General features: G+C 38.6%; 1 protein-coding gene across 8 annotated transcripts in view; it reads right to left on the reverse strand.

The window, feature by feature from the left end:
* PCNX2 (pecanex 2) overlaps nt 1-26030 on the reverse strand; it is a 343895-nt gene that overhangs the window by 67978 nt on the left and 249887 nt on the right. For 6 of the 8 annotated variants that reach the window (XM_047430870.1, NM_014801.4, XM_047430871.1 and 3 more), the window contains 2 exons: nt 5820-5878; nt 2856-3071 (listed from right to left, as the gene is read on the reverse strand). In XM_047430870.1, coding sequence (XP_047286826.1) covers nt 2856-3071; nt 5820-5878 — 275 coding nt within the window. Of the gene's footprint in view, nt 1-2855; nt 3072-5819; nt 5879-14039; nt 14250-26030 lie in introns of those variants that run through there. The other 2 variants (XR_001737430.2, XM_006711816.4) reach the window with 1 other exon arrangement.

Here is a 26030-nt window from a genome sequence, read left to right on the forward strand (position 1 = left end):
TATTCACAATAGCAATGACATGGAATCAACCTAGGTGCCCATCAACAGTAGACTGGATAAAGAAAATGGGGGTACATATACACCATGGAATACTATGCAGCCATAAAGAAAAATAAAATCATGTCCTTTGCAGCAACGTAGATGCAGTTGGATGCCATTATCCTAAGCAAATTAATGCAGGAATAGAAAACCAAATACCAGATGTTCTCACTTATAAAAGGGAGCTAAACGTTTGGTACTAATGGACATACAGAAGGCAACAATAGACACTGGGGACTGGTAGACATTGCAGGTAGAAAAGGGGACAAAGGTTGAAAAACTGTTGAGTCCTATGAGCAGTACCTCAGTGATGGGACCAATCATACCTCATATCTCAGCATCACACAATATATCCATGTAACAAACCTGCATATGTACCCCCAAATCTAAAATGAAAATTGAAATTATATTTAAAAAGGAATATACTAAAATAAAAGAACTTTTAAGAAAAGCTCTCAAAAGAGCTGAGATTCAGAAATTCAGAGAGCAGGACAGTTCTATTGTATTATTGCACTGAAGACACTTATTTCCACCATCTCTCGTGACATTTTCTGGCATCTGTGCTAAATGTAGGGGAATTATCCCTTCTGTGATTACTCTATAGAGTTTTATCACTAGTTCCCTGTTCAATAACCTTCTCCAAACTAAGCCCCCTAAATTAGATTCTTAAAATTCAGAAAAGTGCACGGAATGCACACCTAAAACACAGAACCTACCACTCTAGAAAAAAAATATTTCGTAAACATTTATTTAGGAATGTGAAAAGGCATGGATATTCACAAAACTAATGCTAGAGATTCTCATCCAAAGAACCGAGATAACTGATCATCTTTAGATAATGGTGTTCAATCTGGGAAAACATGACAACTTGTTTTTGGCTAAAAGATGTCCTTTTGTCACAGTGAGGGTTTGAACAGGTATGAATTGGCTCCTGCTCACCTTTCTAGCATTACCTATAACCACTTCCAAACTACCTGCTGAGAACTACATCGGATGACTTGGTGCTTCTTTGTCATCACATCTGCTGCTCCTTAGCAGGTAAGGCCCTTCCTCTTTCTCCTCCATTGAGCTGACCCAGACTCCAACCTGACACCAGTGCCTCTCCTCTGGTCCTTAACCTGGCCCTTGCAGGACACTGTCATAACATTCATTTCATGCGATACTCATTTCACATGAGCTCCTTCCATACCTGTCTTCTCTGTGAGGCTCCCAGCATCTTAAGGTGGGGGCTTCATTTCTGTATTCTTGGTACCTACACTAGTGCATGACATGTAATCAGTGCTAAATAAATGTCTCCTGAATAACTAAGAGACTGTATGTACTAGCTACTTGCATATTCACCTGAATGCCTCCACCACCAGACCAAAAAGTCCTTCCAGGCTTCCCTGTTTTAGTAAACACACCTCTGCCCATGCAGACACTCGATCTAGAAACTTGGGGGGCACACAGAGCCTCCCCTCTTACTCACCCCTAACAGCTAGCCCTTCTGATTCCACCTCCCAGTCTCTGGGCACTTCCCTGTCTCTGCCATCATCTGCTTGGGTGTCCACAATGCAGTCCTAAATGGTTTCCCTGCTTCTACTTTTGTCTTCCCCCAGTATATTCTCCACACAGCCACCAGACCAATCTCTTAAAGTGTAGAGAGGGTCAACCATTCCCTCCTCCAGAGTCCCTACATGGTTCCCCATAACATAGAGAATAACATATAGTCCCTGACACTGGCGGGGAGATCTCACATTACTGGGCTTCCAGCTGCCTCATGTCAAGTTGCCGCAAGCGCTGGTCAGCCCTAGTCACTTGAGTCCTCCCAGATGCCAGGAGTGCTCTGAGATGCCGCCTGACTCATGCACTTAGCAGGTATCAGTCCCTGCACTGGGGACATTCTTCCTCCTGCTCTCCTCTCCAGGCCCTCCTCGACCATCCCATTGAATGTGGCACCTCCTCACCCTCATCCTCTGCAGTGACTTTGGGTTCCAGAACCCTATTTACTTCTTTCATAGCACCTGCTCCAAGCTATAATAAGTTTGTCTGTTTACTTGTTTACTTTAGGTGTCTCTCACTGGGGGTAAGCTTCATGGTGATAAGACTCTTTTATGTCACGTGTCCATTGCATCTCCAGTATTGAAACACTGCCTGATACAGAGGAGATGTTCAGAAAACATGCAATGAGTAAAGGAATAAACAACATAGGAGAAGGCAACAGGTACATCACTTATGCCACTTTCTGCATCCCGCATAACTCCAGCTCCTCATTTGCGGGAAAACTGGAGTTATACTTTCAAGATTCAGGCAGACTCAATAACCATAAAGCAATGAGGATTCATGAAGTGCCTTCTACATGATCTCATTTAAACCACACAGCAACATTATAAGGCAGCCATTCTCATTATTATTATTTTGCAGATAGGAAAGAAAAGCTCTAAGACCTTAAATGATTTGCACGCAACAGATCCCAACACCTGTGACCCACAGAACAAGGTCGGGCTGACTCCATTTGGAACCCCAAATGATGTTCCCCACAACCTCCTGTGGCTTCTGAGTTTTTCCCAGAAGGATTAAAATCAATATCCTGATTTGCTAATAAAACCAATGTCCTGGTTTGCTAATCCACAAGTTTACATGCCATTCTATGTTTTATGTTTTTATTCCTTCAGATGACTGTAGTTTATTTATATCAAGGTAGTGGTGGCAAGCTCACTTTCAGTAGGAAGACATTAAGTTTTTCCTGTTTAACAGTGACTTCTTCCTAAAGTTTTGCTTGATAATTAACTCAAGCAACCAACTTTCAACAGTTTCTACAATGAAGAAATTCTTACCTCGGAATTCCAGTCCTCGAAGTTGAAAGGTGACAAGACCATTTCCAATTTCAATCAGGTGAACAAAGGCATTGAGGTCATCTGAAGCCAAAATAAAGCAATCGCCAGAGCTGTAGTTGCCCCAACGTCCAAGAACTAAGTCTCCACAGAGGGACTCCTGGAGGGTCCTTGTCAAGTGTTCATAAAAAATGGAATTGAGATTGTTGTCATCATTCCCTAAAGGCAGACAAGAAATATGATCAGTGAATGCCTACTCCTTGCTGTGTATCCAGACCTAGGAAACAGTGAGTTGTCATCTGATTAAGGGTAAAATCAGACTCTTTATATACATAAAAGAGGAAAGATGTGTTCTTCCCACATTTTAGTGGATTATATGAGACCCTCCAATTTTTTCCCTCAATATTCTCTCTGTGTAATTTATAGGCCATAAGCAGCATCGATTTATATATATGTGCTATAATATATAATACAAACAATCATTGCTAGTATTATTTGTTAAATACAAATAAATATTTGACATATTATATAACATATAAGTTATTATACTATATATAAATGGATACCATTTGTTCTTAAACTATATATAAATTAAAAATTCAGGTTTATTGAAGAATAATTTGTGTAGGGTAAAATTCATCCATTTTAGTGTACTATTCTATGAGTCTTGAAAAATGCACATAGTCATATAACCAGCGCTTAGAATAATGCATTCATCTGTTGTATATATGAGTGTGTTCTGTTTCACCTTTGAGTAGTATCCCTCTGTATGCATGTGCTACAGTTTGTTTATCCATTCAGCTGCTGAAGGACACTTGGGTTGTTTCCAGTTTTGGTGATTATGGGTAAAACCACTACCAAGAGTCATGAACAGGAGTTTGTGTGAATATGACTCTCCCCATTTCTCTTGAGTAAATGCTTAGGAGCAGGACTGCTGTTCTCCAAAGTGGCTGTACCCTATTTGCATTTCCCCAGCAGTGATTGAGAGCTCTAATTCTGCATCCTTGCCAGGACTTGGAATTGTCCACTGTTGCTTGTTTGTTTAACTTTGGCCATTTTAATTGGGTGGATAATGACATCCAAGGAAGGGTGAAGGAGGAAGCAGCAAAGAAGATGGAATGATGGAATACCTTGCTTCCCGGTGGACAGCCAGGGGTGCGTGTTGAGTGGGGGTGAAATTAGGAGTGCGTAGTGCATTTCCTATATCCTCCCTGCTGAGCCCTGACTCTTTTCCCTCCTTTCATGGGATCTCTCAAGATGAGGGATATAAGATTTTTTAAAGAGAAGATTGGATAACATGGGAAGTCTTCCTGGTCTGTGGTCCTGTGGGTGGAGTAAGCATTGGGAGAAGCCTAGGCAAAATGTTCACGTTCATGACTTTTATTCTAGGAGTAGCTTTTCTTTGGGAGAGGAAATTATGGCTCTGGAAAGCCATAGGCATAGTTGTCCTAAACAGGAAACGCCTAAAGCAAAACTCAATGCTCCCTCCTGGATCGTCTATTTGAGTGGAGACAGACATTCGGGGAGGACAGGGATGAAGACTGCAGATCTGACCGAAGCATCCCTGCTTTGTATCCATGGGAACTGGGGCAAAATCAGGGTGCGGAAGGCAGGGAGTGGTACAAGAAGGTGAAGATGCCCCAAGTGCGCTTACATAAGGAAGATCACCAATCCACCTCTAAGAAATCTACAGAATAACACTATCAAATTATGAGTATCTTTGCTGGCCACTCATGACAGTTGAAAGCTGAATCAAAACTAGAGCATTTATAACTTAATTATGATTAATGGAAAGAAACTGTTCTGTGGGCTGACTCATGCCATGTAGTCTAATAATGTATCAGTATGCTTAATCTTCTATGCAGATGAAGCCTCCTTGACCTGCACTGTATTCATTTTCTCTAATGAAGCAGCACGCATCCTGAGACACTAATTAAAGACACCTTTCAGTCTCTGGCACTTTGAAAGGAAAGGCCTGAATGAGAGAATTAGCCTTTGCTTAATTGTTGAAACTGTTCAATATTTAAATAAAACAAAACAATTGAAATCACTAAAAGTAGAGATTCAACTCAGGGCATCTTTTTAGAACACATTGACCACACATTTGCATAATTAGATTAAAATGAGACAGCAACTATGATTAACTAACAGCACAATGTGCTTGGGAAACTGTCCCTCTGCCTTGTATCAATAGCCTTGTAACATCACAGTCCCACAGCTGCACCTCAGAGATATCAGTACCTCTCCTCCCTCATTGTACTGACATAAAGTTCAACAAAAAATAAGCTTCTCTCTCCAGGTATCTCAAATTTCGAATTTTGATTTCGAATTAATCATGTAGATGCAATTCAAATATAGATAATGAGCACGATACAATTGTTCCTAGACAGATTTTGGGTCACAAAGAAGGGAGTGAGGAGGACAAAAATAGAGAACAGTTAAAATTTGCATTCTAATATGAGGAAAGAAGAAATAGAATGGTTAAAAAAGGAGATTGATTATGGAAAGAAAAAAGTAAAATAATTTTCTAGCAGGTACATCCTTTCATAGCTTAATGTTGACCAAAGTTTCTGAAACCTTCTAGATCCTGGATCATGGAATGCTTTACCTTTAAGGATATTATCATGCTGATGTTTTTCCAAAGAATTTTTTTTTCCTAAAAGACGAATCTCAAGGTTTATAGTCTGTGTTTGAGGTTTACTGCACACGAACTAAAATGTCTTGATTAACAGGGGTATGCAATACTGAGCAAGGTCCTAATCAATTCTAAATAGCGGAGCAATGCATTGTCAAACCAAATCAGGTTGCTTGATCACTCTACCTGCACAGTTTTATTCCACATTCAGCAGATTAACTAAGATGTGCATTGTCTCCACAATGAGTACAGAGTGAGTATTTAATTCTTCCTTTTGAGAATCCATCCATACAACAATAAATAGTTGAAAAAGAGAGAAGAGATCTTCTTACCTGGATCTCTTTCAATTTGGACTGCCAGTCTTGTGTTGGAATTATCCACTCGCCTTGTACTAGAAGAGGCCACAAAAGGGTAAAAGGTCATGATTAGATCCCCCCAAGCAGAAGAGTTGGTTTATAGAACCAGCTGCATGAGTGGAAAATGCAAAGGTGACAGATCTCACAGGTTAAGACGATTGCTGTAGTTTTACCACACTGCAGGAAGAGAGGAGTCTCATGATAAGAGATAGAGGGAGCAGTACAAGAAACACATGGAAGGGAGAGATGAGTAGCTCTCTGATTTGGAGAGAACGGTCTTGTGTCTTAATCAATTTGGAGCACCAGATCTGCAAAATCAAAGCAAGTATTTAGGCTGAGCACGGTGGCTCATGCCTGTAATCCCAACACTTAGGGAGGCTGAGGCAGGCAGATCATTTGAAGTCAGGAGCTTGGTACCAGTCTGGCAAACAGTGTGAAACTCCATCTCTACTAAAAATACAAAAAGATTAGCCATGTGTGGTGGCACACTCCTATAATCTCAGCTACTTGGGAGGCTGAACTTGAATCCAGGAGGCCGAGGTCGCAGTGAGCCGAGATTGCACCACTGCACTCCAACCTGGGTGACAGAGCAAGACTCAAAAAAAAAAAAGCAAGTGTTTAAACTGCCAATGTAATGCTACCCACTTTCAGAACTTGAGAACAGTGTCCACAAAGGTATCTTTCTCTTCAAATTGATTTCAGGAAATGGTGGTGAGTAGTCAACGTCTCCACCACCTGCTTTCAAGAGTGGGGTATACTCTTATAGACCTTTCTTAGGTTGAACCATGAGAATGAAAGCTCTCGGATCATCTGCAGCCATGGTAACAAGTGGCCACTAGAACCAGCTTTGAACCTATTCCATCATGTAAACACCCCTCAGTGCACAGCTTTTGTAAGGCAGCCAGTCCATGACAACCCCTGGCTTCTGAGAGTTAGCCGACTCACTGCAGACTTGAGGGGCAACTGATGAATAACAGGCTTTTCAAGTAACCACCTATACAGATGCCATCAACCCATGTATGCCTCCAAAACCTCACCAGTCCTTGAACTCCACACATCCCCAAAACCCTTTGTAAGTGCAGCGATCTGCTCTCTTGGAGAGGCTATGCCAGCCTACCTTTGTCCTTTTATTTCCAACAATGAGTGGCGGTCTTTAAAGAATGAAATATGAAATTGACATCAGGCCTATGAAATTGACGATAGTCAACTGTTTATTATCACCTACAAAATGGCAATTTCATATGGTTAAATCTGATATATTCGCCATTAAGAAAGGGCTTCCACAAATATATCAGCATCACACATAGGGTTTACTTAAGGATTTGGGCATAATGAAGGTCCCACTGACAATTGTAGAAAGCCTGGTCTTGAACACATCTGGCTCCTGCTTTTTCTTTTTCTTTTCTTTTCTTTTTTTTTTTTTTTTTTTGAGATGGAGTCTCGCTCTGTCACCAGGATGGAGTGCAGCAGTGCAATCTCGGCTCATGGCAACCTCCGCCTCCTGGGTTCAAGCGATTGTCCTGCCTCAGCCTTCCCAGTAGCTGGGATTACAGACATGCGCCACATGCCCAGCTAATTTTTGTATTCTTAGTAGAGACGGGGTTTTACCATGTTGACCAGGATGGTCTCGCTCTCTCGACCTCATGATCCACCTGCCTTGGCCTCCCAAAGTGCTGGGATTACAGGTGTGAGTCACAGCGCCTGGCCAGCTCCTGCCTTTTCTATCACTCCACCCTTTGCTTTCTTTGCTCCAAGCCTGTTGGTTTTCCTTTTCCACCCCTTCAGCATGCCCAGACCTCTTAGTCCTGTCATTCCTTCCTCTCCAGTATCCTTTGCAAATGTTCCCTCTACTTAGGGATCCCTTTCCATTCCCACTCATTTTTCCTCATTGACTCCTCTCATCCTTCAAGTCTCAGCTCAAGTATCACCTTCTCAGGGAAGCTGCCTTGACTCCTGTGCTGCTTGAGATTCCTTTGTCATGTTCTCTTTCACATGTTGTACCTGTACCTCTCTTTTGGAGCACCTGTCAAGGCTAACATCAATCATAACAATGGCAGCTAACATTTATGTAGCACTTGCTTGTGTCATGTGCCTGTTCTAAGTACTTTATATGTATTGGCTTATTATTGCCTCAAAACTACCCTCTGAGGTAGGTACTCATTATACCCATTCTCACGGCGGATGAGGCAGAGGCACAGAGAAATTAAATAGAGTGCTCAAGGTCACAGATCTAACAGGTGGCACAGCCAGAATATGACCTAGGGAGGCTGGCTTAGGAGCCTTTACTTTACACCACATCATACATCTCTTTGTGTAATTATCTGATGATATCTGACTCTTACATCAGTCCCTAAGTACCATGAGAGTAAGTTTGTTGCTCACAACTGGCACATAGTAGTCACTCAATAAATATTTGCAGAATAAATTATTGAATGGTCAAAGATAAGGCTACTTCTGAAGTTCTTGTCCTTATAATATTTGCTAAGAAGAAACAAGACTAGCTGCCAGTCAATGCTGCATATGTGGCTTATGTTTAAACATGATCATTGACATATTCTGTATAATTTAATAAATGAAAAGCACTTGTCAGAAATGGTGCTTAAGAAGAAACCTAAGAATGCAGCCTTCTTTTGTGAACTTGTCTTTTGGGAATAAAAACAGATAAAAAGATATTTGGTTGGAACTATAATTTGAATAAATGAAAAGGCTTGTCTTCAGAAAAAAAAAGTATTCTTTCTTTTCATGTATGTCTTAGACATTTGGGAACCATCTAGGCAAGATCCTGTTGAGTTCTGTGATGCTACGGATGGATTGGAGAGAAGAAATACTGTGTTACATTTCAGAAAGGCTGTGAACCCAAGTATGCTGTTCTATTACAGCTTTAGTTTTCCTTACAAATACTCTCATAGCAGCTTTGAAAAATGAAAGATCTCAGGGTAGCAGAAAATCCAGCAACCAACAAAATTCTTTTTAATGAAGGCTGAAGTCCCACGTCTGCATAGTTAGTCCCTAAATGGAATTTTAATTTCACCTTAAGACCTACCACAAATGGAATTTTCAAGCAGCAGAATAAACAACTTTTAAAGGAGGATTAAGACAAAAGAAAATCATTTACTAAACTCCTTAGGGAACTAAAACACCTTCTAAAACTATGTTCACTGGAAAGCTATCTTTTCAGAAGCCTATAGAACACAGTCTAAATTCTGATGAGCAATAACTAAGTTAAGCTGCCTGTGTACCCCCAGGACCTCTGGCTCTCCACACATTCTCTAAGAGGGTGGACTGTCAGCCACACTGGGTAATTTGAGTTTTCTCCAGTGCTTTCCTCCTGTAAATTTGGTGCTTACCCCTCAAAGGTGCTAATTAGCTCAGTAATTGGATTTCTGCCTTAACTGTCCAATCAAATGAACATCAGCTCTGTAGCTCAAAGAGGAAACAGGGCTTATAGCTCACTCCCCAATCTCAGTGGGAACATGCAATCCTGGTACACATTAGGCATGCGTCTGCATGCATGGTCTTCCTAGCACTTGCCTGACAAAGTCACTGTGCATTGCTGGCTAATGCTGTCCTGAGCACTACAGAACAAGAGTCGTATAACAGGACTCTCCAGAGAAGCGGACTTACTGAGAAGCACCCCTCTTTTATGTTAATACAAAATGCAGAGAGCAGAGCTGGCTTCTTCCCTTCAAACTTGGCCTTTCCACCCCATGGCCAGTCTCTCTAAGTCAAGCACCTTCTCTCTCAGTTTCATCTGAACAACTTAAATAATTTAAAAGTAATTTTCTATATTGATAATGCTTCAAATTCCCCTTTGTCAGTACACACAGTCTATGGTAAAAGTTGTCTTATTTTTTGGTGAGGAAATACTGCTGGCCGGAGTGAGAAGTTTGGTGGGGGTCTGTTCATATAGCAAATCCAAGACAGAGTTAAAAATAGACTGTAATTCTATTCATAGGCAGACCAACCTTAAAGAAATCTGGACAATGAAAAGGCAGCCAGAGTTTAAATACAGGGGTACTGTCTCCTTTAAAATTGATTATATGCACAAGGTACAGCTAGGTTTGTTTTTCTGCCCTTAATTGCTGCTGCTACTAACAATCGTATTAGCTCTTGCAAAGTCAATGGCACTCTGCTGTCACCACGCAGCTCAGAATGATTTGGCACGAGACATTTCCTGAGGACATACTGCTGTACACCCATCAGGGTGAGCACTGCCTCGGATCAGCGCCTTCAGGTGACCTCCAGCCTTACTGGGCCTGGGTTTTGACTTTTCATACATTTGCCCTCCAAGACCACAAACAGCTCAGTTTGGCTGTTTCTTTTTTCAGGTTTGGCAGATGGTCTTGAATAAAAATGGTTATGAGTGCTGGGTGCTTTCCTTCTACTGGATTTTGATCTGAATTTTCAGTACTTTGAAGGTTTTGAGCAACCAACAACTTTGAGTTTAAAGAAAGTTTTGTTGGTTTTTTTCTTTATATTTATTTTTGTTGTTATTGTTTTGTATTTGTTTTTGTTTTTTTTGAGACAGAGTCTTACTCTGTCGCCCAGGCTGGAGTGCAGTGGTGCGATCTTGGCTCACTGCAACCTCCGCCTCCTGGGTTCAAGCGATTCCCCTGCCTCAGCCTCCCGAGTAGCTGGGATCACAGGCATGCACCACTACGCCCAGCTAATTTTTGTATTTTTAGTAGAGATGGGGTTTCACCATGTTGGCCAGGCTGGTCTCAAACTCCTGACCTCAGGTGATCCACCTGCCTCGGCCTCCCAAAGTGCTGGGATTACAGGCATGAGCCACTGCGCCTAGCCCCTTTCTTTGTATTTTACCCAGTTTTCTTTAGCTGCCCTCACTGGGGAAAATTGGTTGTAAACACCTAGCATGTCATTACTAGAAATTGAACTACTATTGTAGTTTGTAAGAACTATGAAAGTGAGCTCCTTTTTAATTGCCTAATATATAATCAGTGTTTCTTCATATCCCATGGGCACCTGAAAAGGTTTTTTTCATTTTCTATATGTATATGTGTTTGTGCATGTGTGTATATATTCTGTAGTATATATTGAAGTTACATTATGTTATTTATTTCTTCTATATGCTTATCTAATTTTTGATCACTTGATGGGTCATGAACTAAGAAAAGTGAGTCACATTTTCTACCACTACTGTGTTTCTATTTTTTAAATAAAATTTCTTTTTTTCCATATAAGTTTTGCTACGTGACTTAATGCATTGATATTCATAGCTTATATTTTCATTGTGAATTTTAGTCTTTGGCATTATAAAATGTTTTTAATCCTAATGGCTTTTGCCCCAAATACATCTGTGTTCAATATTAAGCCACAACAGTAGCTTTAATTTGTTTGCACTTGCCTAATGCTTTCACTTATTCTTTGATTTTCAGCTGTTCCAAGTCACCATATTTAAGGTATGTCTTTTCGCTGGGTGTCCAGGCAGATGTATTTGGTCATATTCCATCTTCATAGTTTATGTTATTATGCTAATTGTATTGTTTCTTTGATTTTTAAACACATTACACTATAGTCTGATTATAAAATTATAAAGACAATTCTACAGAATCAGAAATAATAAGGCAATACTATGAACAACTTTGTGCCAATAAATTTGAAAACATAAATGAAATAGGTAATCCCCTACAAAGCTGTAACATACTAAAAGTAACTCCAGAATAAAAACAAAAGAAGAGGCCGGGCACGGTGGCTCATGCCTGTAATCCCAGCAATTTGGGAGGCTGAGGTGGGTGGATCATTTGAGGTCAGGAGTTTCAAGACCAGCCTGGCCAACACAGTGAAACCCTGTCTCTACTAAAAATATGAAAATTAGCAGGGTGTGGTGGCACACCCTTGTAATCCCAGCTACTCGGAAGGTGGAGGCAGGAGAATCTCTTGAACCTGGGAGGCGAGGCTGCAGTGAGCCAAGATTGTACCACTGTACTCCAGCCTGGGAGACAGAGCAAGACTCTGTCTTCAACAACAACAACAACGAAGAAGAATAGCCCTGTAATTATTGAACAAATAGAATGAGTAGTTAAATAAATACCAAACATACAAAAATATACACATTTGATGAGAATGATTGTTTTAAAAAAGGGAAAAAAGGTAAAGGAGAAAGAGAGGCAGGGAGAGAGAATGAGAGTGGGGGAGAGAAAAGAGAGCTAATAAAAGTTAACCATACTGAAAAATAGGAGTACAACTACATATTACTCCATTGTTGCTGTATAGAATTCTTCTATTGGTCATACATACTGTTATTAATTAGTATCCATTCTTTCTGTTGCTTCTGAATACTTTAAAGATCTTTTTTGATATTAGTGCTGTGAAACCTCACTATTTTGTGTAGAAATGTGAATTTATTTTAGTTTATTATGGTCATGACTTAGATTCCTGAAATTGAGGATTCATGTCTTTCATCAATTTTGAAAATTTTCTATTATTTTCTCTTAAAACTGTGCTTCTCCCTATTTGTTTTATGCCTTCTTCCAGGAACTTCTAGACTTCTAGTTGACATCTTTCATTTTGTCCTCTAAGTCTCTTAACCTCCCTGGAATATTTCCCATTTCTTTATCTTTCTCTGCTGCATTCTGGCCAGTTTTCTTAGATTGACTGCTTTCTAGTTTAGCTGTGTTTAATTTACTATTTAACTTGTCTATTACAGTATACATTTTAATGACTATATGCATTTATTTTTATAAGCCATTTGTTCCAATTTGTCTTTTTTTTCATAACATCTTGGCCTTTTAGTTTTATTTCTTCTTATACAACTTTTTATTCTAAATATATATATGATTATTTCTTTACTTATCTTTAGTTTTGGAGAGTCGAAATCTGCTATTTATTTTATTTCCTGGTTCTTGTTCACAGTGAATATTTTTCTTTTGTATTGCGTAGTACTGGATTGAGAGCTCCTTTCCAGTCAGTTTTTATTGTGGAATTAGTTGAAGATATGTCATGTCCTTTAAGAATAATTTTACACTGGCTTCATCAGCAACTCTAGGGGTTTTACACACCAGTACCATTTTTGTGTTAACTTCTCAATGTGACAATTTCCAAATATGGGTAGTATCGTTTTGAACTCCAAGCCCGCATGTGACAAAAGATTAGTATTGTCCATTCACAATGGAGACTTGTCCCCACTCTTCCCTCTCTCTGACCAGTTGAGATTTCTTGTTCCTTCTCTGTGTTGGGTGTTTCACTTCTTCACTGATGGGGAAGACCTTCAGGGCTACAGCTTTATGTGGAAGTCTTAGTTGAAACTTTCTGCTTCTGTAGGACTAACGCTTCATCACCTAGCCTGGCATAGATTTTAAAATGTCAGTCCCTATGTTACTGAGACTCACAGCCCCGACCCACCACCCACCCCATTCTTCCCAGGCAGTGATAGTGGGTTTTGCTGTTTTCTGCTCCCTCTTTCTTTCTAGCCCTTGGGAATTTTCCAACTTTATTATTATGCTCAAACATGTATCTAGGAGGAATTTTACCATCTATCATTTTTTGATACTTTTAGCAGGTATAAAAGTTTTGAGATTATCTAGTCTGCTACATCTCTGGAACTGAAAACTTCTAAACCAGATTTTCATAAAGAAAAGATAATACAAGTTAGCCATACTGAAAAAATAGGAGTACAACCACATATTACTCCACTGTTGCTGTGTAGAAGTCTTCTACTGATCTTTGTGAATTTTAGTCTTAGTTATACAACTTTTCAAAGTAATTAATTATTAAGTTAAAAAACTAAAATTTTTTTTTCATTTTATGTTTATAAAGCTTGCTGAGTTTTATACCACTCTCTCCACAAGGATCTTATCATGACAGGGTCTGAATCAACATTTTTTCTCTCTGTTTACATTCCCTCAGTGCTTTTCTGGTTTCTTCTATTATCCTATAGATAAACTGTAAAATACACTCGGCAACCACACTGTGTTCAGCCTACCTCAAGGTGAAGTTTCTAAGATTCTGTGTAAACATACATGTGTGCTCACAGGCAGCCATATGGACATAATGAGGCAATTCTCTTACCTCCTAATGTTATTGTAAAAGTCTATTTCCTGAAAGTCTATTTGAGGCCTGCAATGAAAGAATACCCTATACAGAATACTGGTATCCAACATATTATGTTTTCATCATACCATATGAAACTGCAGTAGAGAAAGCTAAGCACGAATAAGAACAATGAATACATGCAGATTGGTTGTATTCTTCCGGAAATATGGAGTTGGTGTATTTTTCCTTATTCCTCTACTTGGTACAACGAAAACCCTGGATTTTACATGTTATAAAAACACCTTCTGAAAGGTAAAAGGAAAAAGTAGAGCATCTGGGCATCATGGGATCCAAGGAAAAACACTGTGGTGAGTTTCTCTGTTTTTATTTTTGCCTCACGTAGCCCAGAAACACCTACAGAAGCAAAAGAAAAAAAAAAAGCATCAACAAACCCCTGATCTGTCTAGCCTGAAAGTCAGGAAAGGCGCAGGCTAAAAAGACAGAAAATTGTAGGTCATAACCTCTCTGTAACAGCCAAATACCACAGATAAAACCATAGCCCTATGCCTATCTGTATCAGTGATAGCAGCAGAAGGGAGACAAATTCCTAGGCAGATAGGGGTGGGTCCCTGGTGAAACCCAACCTTCAAACCAAAGACAAATTAAAGCCTGAAAACCAAGCTGCCAGTTCTAGATAAAGTCCCCAACTGCAGTGAGAACTTCCTCCATGCCTTTCAGCCAATTGAATGGTGCTTTTTGACCAATCAGCATGCACTCCCCCATTCCGAGCCCATAAAAACCCTGGACTCAGCCACACTTTGGGACTACCCACCTTTGGGTAGGGGGTACCCACTTAGGGTCCTCTTTCTGCTGAGAGCTGTTCCGTCACTCAGTAAAACTCTTCTCTGCCTTACTCAGTCTCTGATTGTCTACATAACCTCATTCTTCTCAGACACAGGACAAAATCCTGGGACCCACCAAATGGCAGGTGTGAAAAGCACTGTCACACATCTCTGACCAGCTCACTGAGCTGTGGGCAGTGACATGCTCCTGTTCACTGGACCATGGGAAAGAAGAGCTGTGATCCTTCTGGGGGCCCAGACCTCCAGGCTTCCTGAGCCAGAGCTGTGACAAAGCTATAACACCCCCTTGGGGCTTTTTCTGGTTGCTGGCATCTCTGAGTTTTTAGGTGCCACCATATTCCCCTCATCCAGCGAGGGCACTTAAGGCAGAAGCTGCCTGTGGTATGCCTAGTCCAGCTGCAGCCTCACATGAAGGAGGCATCTGTGCTGGCATCTGGAGCTGCCTGCCCAGCCCCACTGCAGCAGCCTGTGTGCCTGGCTGTGCACTGTGGTCAGACCTCACACCCACTTGCACACACACCCTTCACCATTTTACCCAGGATATGGGATCCAGGCCAGTAGCGCAAACCAAGCACGGCCTGCTGGGCTGAATGGGTGGAGCCTGGTGAAGTGGCCTCCCAAAGAATCCTGTGTCACCAGCAAAGACTGAGTGAGGAACCTAGACTTCCTCCCTTGCCAGGCAATAATGAGGTGCCTCTTCCCCTCCTGTTGAGATGGTGCCAAAAGAGACTGAGTTCAGACTTTCATAATTTTCCTGGGTAAGGAGGCCACATGGGGAGCAGTAATGAGGTACCACTATCCCTCCCATTCAGGAAAGTATCAATAAAGGCTTAGTGGGGAATCTGAACTCCCACCCCCTATCAAGCAATAACAAGAAACTTTCCACCCTCTCCCATCTCAAGAGTCAATAGAGGCTGAGTAGGGAACCTGGACTTCTAACCCCATCTGAAAGTAACAAAGCAGCAACCCCTTTTCTCCTGCCAGAATGGTGTCAGTAACAGCTAGCTGAAACAAAGGTGTAAATATTATCCAGAGGCTCATAATACATAATAGCACCCAAAATGTCCAGAGTTGAATAGAAAAGTACTTACAATCAGAAACAAACAGGAAGACCTCAAAATGAATTTTAAAAGACAATAGATGCCAAAATTGAGATGATGAAATTATCTGACAAATATTTTAAATTAGCCGCCATAAAAATGTTTCAATGAGCAATTAAGATCACTTGAAATAAATGAAAAAATAGAGCTTCAGCAAAAAAAAAAAAAAAAAAAAAAAAAAAAAAAAAAAAAAAGCAAGACTTGGCAAAGAAATAGAATAAATAAAGAAGAATCAAATAATAATTTTACAACTGAAAAATACAGTAACTAATTTTTTTTTTGAGACAGAGTCTTGCTCTGTCATCCGGGCTGAAGTGCAGTGGCACCATCTCAGCTCATTGCAACCTTCACCTCCAGGGTTCAAGTGATTCTCCCACCTCAACCTCCCAAGTAAGTGGGACTACAGGTGCATGCCACCACACCCAGCTAATTTTTGTATTTTAATAGAGATGGGGTTTCATCATGTTGGCCACACTGGTCTTGAACTCCTGAGCTCAAGTGATCCACCGGCCTCGGCCTCCCAAAGTGCTGGGATTACAGGTGTGAGCTGCAGTGCCTGACCAATAACTAAAATTTTAAAAATAAAGTTCCCAACAGCAGAATGAAGGGAAGAGAAAAGAATCATTGAACTGGAAGACAGAACAACAGACTGCTGTCTGCAATCTGAACAACAGAGAGAAAACAGACTGAAGAAAAAAAATGAACAGAGTCTCCAAAACCCATGGGACTGTAATTAAAGAACTAAAATCAGGGTCCCAGAAGGAGAGAAGTTGGAAGTAAAGTTGAAGAAATTCACACCAAAACACATTATAGTCAAGCTTCTAAAATATAAACACAAAAAAAAGCTCTTGAAAGCAACAAGAAAGAAACACCTTATCTAAAAAGGAAAAATTCTGAATTATTGCAGATTTCTTATTAGAAACCATAGAGGTCAGGAAGAAATAGCACAATATGTTTTTAAGTGCTGAAAGAAAATAATTGTCAGCCTAGATTCCTATATACAGTGAAGATATCCTTTTGGAATGAAGAAAATTTCATTCCAAGGCATTCTCAAAGGAAGAAAAACTAACAGAATGTATCAAAGGAAGAAAAACTAAGAGAATGTGTCAACAGATGTTCTACCCTGAAATAATAGGTAAATAATGTCCTCTAAGAAAAGAAAAGAAGAGAAAGAAAGAAAAGAATGAAACTTAAAACATCAGGAAGGAAGAAAAAACACAGTAAGCAAAAGTATGGGTAAATACAATAGACGTCCTTCTCCTCATGTGTCTTCTAAATTATGCTTAATGTCTGAATCAAAAATTATATAGTTGTCAATATAGTTCTAAGTGTATATACAGAAAATATTCATGACATCATGGTACAAGCAGGGGAAGCTAAATGGACATGAAAAGACTTCTACACTTCATTTGAACAGGTAAAATGACAGTACCAGTAGATTTTGAACAATTATTTATATATAATGCTAATACCTAGAGCAAACACTAAAAGATACACTCAAAAATATATTATTTATTTAATAAATCAAAATAGAATTCTGAAAAATGTTCAAGAAACATACAAGAATCAGGAAAAAACAAATGAAAATTACAAACAGAGCAAACAAAACAAAAAATTAGTAACAGATATAAGCCCTAATATGTCAATAATTACACCAAACATAAATACACCAGAACAAATTAGCAAGTAGATGAAAAACTATGACCTACGCTGCCTACAAGAAATTCAAATATTCTTACTTACAAGAAATTCAAATATTGTTACTACTTCAAATATAGTAACATAGCCCAACTGAAAATAAAAAATGAAAAATATATACTATGCAAACATTAATCAAAGAAAAGCAAAAATGGCTGTTAATATCAGATAAAGTAGACTCCGTAACAAAGAAGTTTACCAAAGACAGAAACGAACATTGTATGATAGGACGGTTGATCCACAAAGAAAACACATCAGTCCTAAATATGCATAAGTCAAACAACTCAACTGAAACATACGTGAACCCAAACCTGATAGAACTGAAAAAGCAGACAAATCCACAATTATAGATGGAGACTTAAACACCCATGTCTTAACAAACTGATAAGAAGGCCAGACAGAAAATCAACGATAATATAGAAGAACTCAGTAACACTATCAACCATCATTACCTATTCAACATTTACTGCACACTCCACCCAACAATGGTAGACTACACATTCTTTTATAGTGGCCACAGAGAGTGTACCAAGATAGACCATTTTTCTGGGACATAAAATGATCTCCACAAATTCTTAAAAAATGAAATCATACAGAGTTTGTTCTCCAACCATAATGGACTTAAACTAGAAATACATAACACAAAGAAAACAGGAAAATATCCAAACATTTGGAAACTGAACAGCACAATTCTAAATAAACCATGGGTCAAAGATAAAGTTTCAATAGAAATGGAAACACACACAAAAAAAAGAAAAAAGAAGAAATAGAAATACATTGAACTGAAAGAAAATGGAAATAAAGATATCAAGATTTGTCGAACATAGCTAAAGAAGTGTTGAAAGACAAATTCACACCACTAAATATACACATTAAAAAGGTATCAAATTCATAGTCTATGGTCCCACCCAAAAAATCTAGAAAAAGAAGAGCAAAGAAAACCCAAAGCAAGCATAAGAAATGAAATAAAGAGCAAAAATCAGTGAAATTGAAAAATAAATGAGAAAATCAAAGAGCCAAAGAGCTGGTTCTTTGAGAATATCAATCAATAACATCGAAAAATCTCTAACCAGACTGACAAAGAAAAGGGGAGAGAAAACACAAATTACAAATAACTGTATACACTACAGACCCTGCCAGTATCAAAAAGATAATAGGGAATATTACAAATAATTTTACATGCATGAATTTTACAACCTTGATGAAATGGACCAGTTCCTCAAAAAAACCCACTAATTGCCATAACTTGCTCATTATGAAATACATAATTTTAAAAGCCCTGTAACTATTAACGCCATTTAATTAGTAACTTAGAAACTCCCCCCAAAATGAATCTCTAAGCTCTGAAGGCTTCACTGAAGAATTCTACCACGTTTAAAAAATAACAAACAATAATTATACTTAATATCTTTCAGAAATTATAGGAGGAAGAGACACTTTCCTATTTATTTCATGAAGCTAGTATTTACCCTGATACAAAAACCTGACAAAAACAGCATGAAAAAAATAAAATTAAAGATCAATATCTTCCAATAATATAAATCCAAAAATCCTTAAAAATATATTGCAAATAAAATTCAGCAATATATAAAAATAATTATATACCATGACAATGTGGGTTTATTCCAGGGATGCAAGACTGGTTCAATGCACAGAAATCAGTCAGTATAAGCCACCATACTCACATGGGAAAGAAGAAAAATCACATATGCATGTAGATAAACACAGAAAAAGCAAATGACAAGACCCAATACTATTCATGATTTAAAAAAAAAAACTCTCAGAAAAATAGAATTAGATGCAAATTTCCTCACTTGATAAAGATCATCTATAAAAACCTACAGCTGGCCAGGCACAGTGGCTCATGCCTGTAATCCCAGCACTTTGGGAGGCCGAGGTGGGCAGATCACGAGGTCTGGAGATCGAGACCATCCTGGCTAACACGGTGAAACCCCATCTCTACTAAAAATACAAAAAAATTAGCCAGGTTTGGTGGCGGGCGCCTGTAATCCCAGCTACTGGGGAGGCTGAGGCAGGAGAATGGGTGAACCCGGGAGGCGGAGCTTGCAGTGAGCCGAGATCATGCCACTGCACTCCAGCCTGGGCGACAGAGCAAGACTCCGTCACAAAAAATAAAAATAAAAAAATAAAATGAAAACCTACAGCAACACTGTACTTAATGGTGAAAAATTGAATTACTTCCCCATAAGATTGGGAAAGCTGCAAGGATGTCCACTTTAGCTGCTCTTAATCTCTTTATTTTTTATCTTTTAAGTTCAGGGGTACATACGCAGACTTGTCATATAGGTAAACTTGTGTCATGAGGGCTTGTTGTATAGATTATATCATCATCCAGGTATTAAGCCTAGTACCCATTAGCTATTTTTCCTGATCCTCTCCCTCTTCTTACCCTCCACCCTCTGATAGGTCCCAGTGTGCGTTTTTCCCGTGTCCATGTGGTCTCATCATTTGCCTCCCACTTATAAGTGAGAATATGAGGTATTTGGTTTTCTGCTTCTGTGTTAGTTTGCTGAGGATAATGGTTTCCAGCTCCATCCATGTTTCTGCAAAGGATATGATTTCATTCTTTTTATGGCTTCATAGTATTCCATGGTGTATATGTACCACATTTTCTTTATCCAGCCCAACACTGATGGTATCCATGTCTTTGCTACTGTGAATAGTGCTGCAATGAACATACACATGCATGTGTCTTTAGGACAGAGCGATTTATATTCCTTTGGGTATATACTCAGTAATGGAACTGCTGTGTCCAATGGTATTTCTGTTTTTAGGTCTTTGAAGAATTGCCACACTGATTTCCATATGGTTGAACTAATTTACACTTCCACCAACAGTGTATAAGCATTCCTTTTTCTCTGCAACTTCCCAGCATCTGTTATTCTTTGACTTTTTAGTAATAGCCATTCTGACTAGTGTGAGATGGTACTTCACTGTGGTTTTGATTTGCATTTCTCTAATAATTGATGATGCTGAGCATTTCTTTTATCATACGCTTGGCTGCATGTATGTATTCTTTTGAAAAGTGTCTGTTCATGTCCTTTGCCCACTTTTTAATGGGGTTGTTTTTCTCTTGTAAATTTGTTTCAGTTCCTTATAGATGCTGGATATTAGACCTTTGTCAGATGCATAGTTTGTAAAAATTTTCTTCCATTCTGTAGGTTGTCTGTTTACTCTGTGGATAGTTTCTTTTGCTGTGCAGAAACTCTTCAGTTTAGTTAGATTCCATTTGTCAATTTTTGCTTTTGTTGCAATTGCTTTTGATGTCTTCATCATGAAATCTTTGTCTGTTCCTATATCAAAATGGTATTGCCTAGGTTGTCTTCCAGGGTTTTTATAGTTTTGGGTTTTACGTTTAAGTCTTTAATTCAACTTGAGTTAATATTTGCATATGGTGTAAGGAAGGGGTCCAGTTTCAATTTCTGCATATGGCTAGCCAGTTATGCCAGCACCATTTATTGAACAGGGAATCTGTCCCTCATTGCTTGTTTTTGTCAGGTTGTAGGTGTGTGGCCTTATTTCTGGGTTTTCTATTCTGTTCCATTGGTCTATGTGTCTGTTTTTGTACCTGTACTATACTGTTTTAGTTACTGTAGTCTATCACTGATGGGCATTTAGGCTTATCAGATTGAGGACATTCTTTTATCCTAGTTTGTTTAATGTTTTTTATCACAACGTAGTGTTGTATTTTGCAAAATGATTTTTCTGGATCAATTGAAATGGTCAAGTGTGGTTTTCTCCCATACTATTAATATAATCTATCATATTAATTGATTGTTATGTGTTAAACCACCCTAGCATTCTCATCTGGTCACAGTGTATAATCCTAATAAGGTGTTGAATTTGGTTTGATAGTATTTTTTGAGGATTTCTGCATCTACATTCATAAGAAAAATTGGTCTGAATTTTTCTTCTCTCATGATGACACTCTCTGGCTTTGGTGTCAGGATGATACTGGCCCCACAGAATGAGTTAGGAATCGTTCCTTTCTTCAGTATATTTTGAAAGATTTGAGAATAATTGGTGTTAATTCTTCTTTCAACATTTTATACAATTCATCAGTGAAGTCAACTGGTCCTGGGCTTTTTCTTTGTAGGGAGTTTTTTAAAAAATTACTGATTAATTCTTTTTATTATACTTGTTATATAGTCTATTTAGATGTTCTGTTTATTCTTCAGTCAGCTTTGGTAGTTTGTATGTCTTTAGGAATTTCTCCATTTCATCTAGGTTACCTAATTTGTTGAAATACAAGGGGTCGTAGAATTCTCTTATAGTTCCTTTTAATTATGTAAGGCTAGTAATAATGTCCTCACTTTTATTAGCAATTATAGTACGTTGAGTCTTGTTTTTAACTTGGCCATTCTAGCTAAAGGTTTGTCAATTTATGTTTTCAAAAAACAAACTTTTGATTTTATTTATTCTGTCATTTTTCTACTCTTCATTTTCATTGATCCCTAGTCTAATCATTCTGTCTGCTTGCTTTGGATTTTGTACACTCTTCTTTTTCTAGTTCTTTAGGTGATTTATTTGAGATCTTTAAAAAATTTTTTTTGAGAAGAGGTCTCACTATGTTGCCCAGGCTGGTCATGAATTCCTGACCTCAAGCAATCCTCCTGCCTCAGCCTCTGAGTAGCTAGGATTACAGGCACAGGCCACCATACCTGGTAATATCTTTCTTATTATTATTATTATTATTTTTAGAGGCAGGGTCTTGCCCCTGTCACCCAAGCTAGAGTGCAGTGGTGTGATCATAGCTCACTGAAGTCTCTAACTTCTAGGCTCAAGCAATCCTCTAACCTCAGCCTCTTCAGTAGCTAAAACTACAGGTGTGCACCACCATATCCAACTAATTTAAAAAAAATTTTTTGAAGAGACCCATCTATCACTATGTTGCCCAGGCTGGTGGTATTAAACTTTTGACCTCGAGTGATCATTCTGTCTTGGTCTCCCAAAGTGCTGCAGTTATAGGCATGAACACCACCATGTCTGGCCTTATTTTAAAGATCTAGGCATTTACAGCTATGAATTTTCCTCTGAGAACTGCTTTTCCTACCTTCCATAAGTTTTAATAAATTATATTTTATTTTCATTCATCTTGAAGTAGTTTTTAATTTTCTTTGAGATTTCTTCTTAGAACCATTGGTTGTGTGTTTTAATTTATATATATTTGGAAAATTTCCAAATTTGCTCTTGCTATTAATTTTCTATTTTATTCTATTGTGGCCGGAGAACATTCTTTGTATAATTTCAGTTTTTAAAAACTTATCGAGGATTGTTCTATGGTCTAGTAGATGGTCCATTGTGGAGAATAGTTTATGTACGCTTGAAAAGAATGTGTACCTAAAAAACTTTTGCTTTGCAAAACATTTTGTTAAGAGGACGAGGCCGGGCGCGGTGGCTCACGCCTGTAATCCCAGCACTTTGGGAGGCCGAGGCGGGCAGATCACGAGGTCAGGAGATCGAGACCATCCCGGCTAAAACGGTGAAACCCCGTCTCTACTAAAAATACAAAAAAATTAGCTGGGCGTAGTGGCGGGCGCCTGTAGTCCCAGCTACTTGGGAGGCTGAGGCAGGAGAATGGCGTGAACCCGGGAGGCGGAGCTTGCAGTGAGCCGAGATCCCGCCACTGCACTCCAGCCTGGGCGACAGAGCGAGACTCCGTCTCAAAAAAAAAAAAAAAAAAAAAAAAAAAAAGAGGACGAAAAGACAAGCTACAGACTGGAATGAAATATTTGCAAAACATATATCTAAGAGAGTACAACTATCTGAAATAGGTAAGAAATTCTCAAAATTCAACAGTAGAAAAAAAGTCCAATTAGAAAATGAGCAAAAGACATGAATAAACATTTCACTGAAGAGACTATAGAGATGGCAAATATGCTCAAGAAAAGATAATCAAAATCATTTGCCATTAAGGAAATGCAAAGTAAACCCAATGAGCTATCACTGTATACCCCTCAGAATGGCTACAATAAAAAATAGTGAAAACATGAAAATACTGCCAAAGATATGAAGAAACTTGATCTCTCATACATTGTTGGTGGAGATGTAAAGTGGTATAGCCCCTCTGAAAGAGTTTTACAGCTTCTTTAAAAAAGAAAAAGAAAACTAAAAAAAATACTACATTATGAGACAGCAATGGCATTCTTGGAAATTATCTCAGAGAAGTGAAGATTTATGTTCACATAAAAACCTATAAACAAGTGTCCAAAGAAGCTTTATTCATAATAGCTCCAAACTGGAAACAACCCAGAAGTCCTTCAATGGATGACTTATTAGACTCTGACACATCCATACCACGGAACTACTCAGCAATATAATAAAATAAACTAATGACACATACAACTTGGATGAATCTCCACTGAATTATGTTGTGTGAAAATAGGCAATCCCAAAAGGTTAAACAGTGTAGGATTCCATTTATATAACATTCTTGGAATGACAAAATTATAAAGATGGAGAACAGATTAGAGGTTGACAGGAGTTATGAAGGGATGGGGACAGGAAGGAAGTATGTGTGCTCTCCAACAGGAGAGGTCTCTGTGGTGATGGAAATCTTCTGGTTTTTTGTATTTGTTTGTTTGTTTGTTACGTGTCACTAATTTGAAGCTTGGATAGAAATCTTCTGTATCTTGAATGTATCAACATCAATATCTAGGTTGTGATAGTTTTGCAAAATGTTATCCCTGGGGGAAACTGGTAAAGAATACATGGGCTCTGTCTCTATTGTTTCATTCAACTGCATTTGAATCTGCAGTTAGCTTAAAACACACACACACACACACACACACACACACACACACACACACAACAGAAAAGAAATCTCCATTGCAAATAGCAGGCCTGAACATAGTGACTACCATGCATTCATCTACAATTTGTATCTCTGATTCTAACGTGCTTACACCTTAAATTAGTATTATTTCTTCCATTTCAGCAAGAAAAATCCAAGACTACTCAATATTTTAAATACAGAATATGAACTTCAACTATTCATTCAGTGGAAAGTCATAAATATTTAGGGGGTGAAAAGTGTTTCTTCTCTTTCTGCAAATGCAACTAATAAAAATAGTAATAAAAAATCCAAGTTGCTTGCTGTTGGGCAAAAAGTCAGCCAACTGGGAAATTGAATAAATGAAGAGGCAGACAGTTTTAAGTGATTCATAAAGATTAAATTATCAGAGTACTGCTGAGTTTTCCCCCAAGTTTAATTTGACTGATTTAAGGTTTCGACTTCTGGCTGTTACATTCTTCTGGTAAAAGGGGAGGTCCAATGCCATTTATTTGAGTGTTTTATTTAGAGTTGTGAGTGAAACTTCTCCTGGGGATGAAGACATGTTTATTTCATTCATAAGTTACCTGTGGTGTATACAGGATTTGGATCAAGATGAACCGGGCTTTTGACATGCATTTCCCCATATAGCAAAAAGAAACTATGATCTTTAGCAATGGAACTGCAGTAATTTGTGCAGTGACACACTCAGCTGTGATGAGTTAAGTCAGGACCTTCAGTTTTTGTAGCCACTTGTCTCGGGAGAGGCAGCAACTTGAGAAGACACATTCTCTGAACACAATGCCCATTATACCCGGTGCAGTTTTCTAGTTGAGGGATTTGGCGTTAATAAAATCACACAGCAACGTTTCTTGCTCAGACGGACCTCACTTTTCCTTTGCTATTTCCTTCACTCCTAAAAGTGTAACACTGTACTTCGCTCACTTTAAATCTTAAAATCTATTACCAAATCAAATCCAACTAAAATTACACTTCTTATTCTACAATCATCTTGAGACACCTTGTCAAATCATTTACACCTTGACTAAACTTATAAATGAAGAAATTTATTATATGCAAGTTTGACATCTCATGTTTGCATTTTTATGATATGGTACCCCATGTAAAATAATTTGGCTTGGAAACACTGCACTAATGACAAGGTGAGGGGAAGGGGAGTGCCCAAGAACAAGTCTGCAGCTGTAAGTCAACAAACATGATTTCTGGTTTTTCATTTGATTTATGATTTATTAAATTATTTGAGGGGTGTAAAGGAGGATCACCTCATTATTCTGACCCCTAGTTTTCTGAATGTCTAAAATAGCAAATAAACATAGCATAGGGCTTTTGGTAGGAAATTAAAACACAGAGCCACATCTATGACTGCCTACTGCAAAACTAAACAGGTAGTCACTTTAGCCTTGTAACAGACCAGTCACCCAAGGGAAGGATAAGTGACAAAGAATGAATAGGAAATAGTTCTATGTCACTGCATCAGTACATCTGGGTATAGATTTTATTTTGGTGGGGGGAAGGAATAGTATTTTTCATTCTGACAATATTTTACATTTGTTTTTAAATTAGATTTTTCAAATACTAAGATTGTGTCAAATCTTGACTCCAGGAGCACAGGGACAAAATTTGACAGAAAATGAGTTCACTCATCTCTCCTCAACCCTCACCGGTGTTTTCCTAAAACAGCCTCTTGGAAAACAGGGAAAAACACCCTCAGAAGCCTTCC

The sequence above is a fragment of the Homo sapiens genome, chromosome 1, assembly GCF_000001405.40.
Source record: "Homo sapiens chromosome 1, GRCh38.p14 Primary Assembly".
Taxonomy (NCBI): Eukaryota; Metazoa; Chordata; class Mammalia; order Primates; family Hominidae; genus Homo; species Homo sapiens.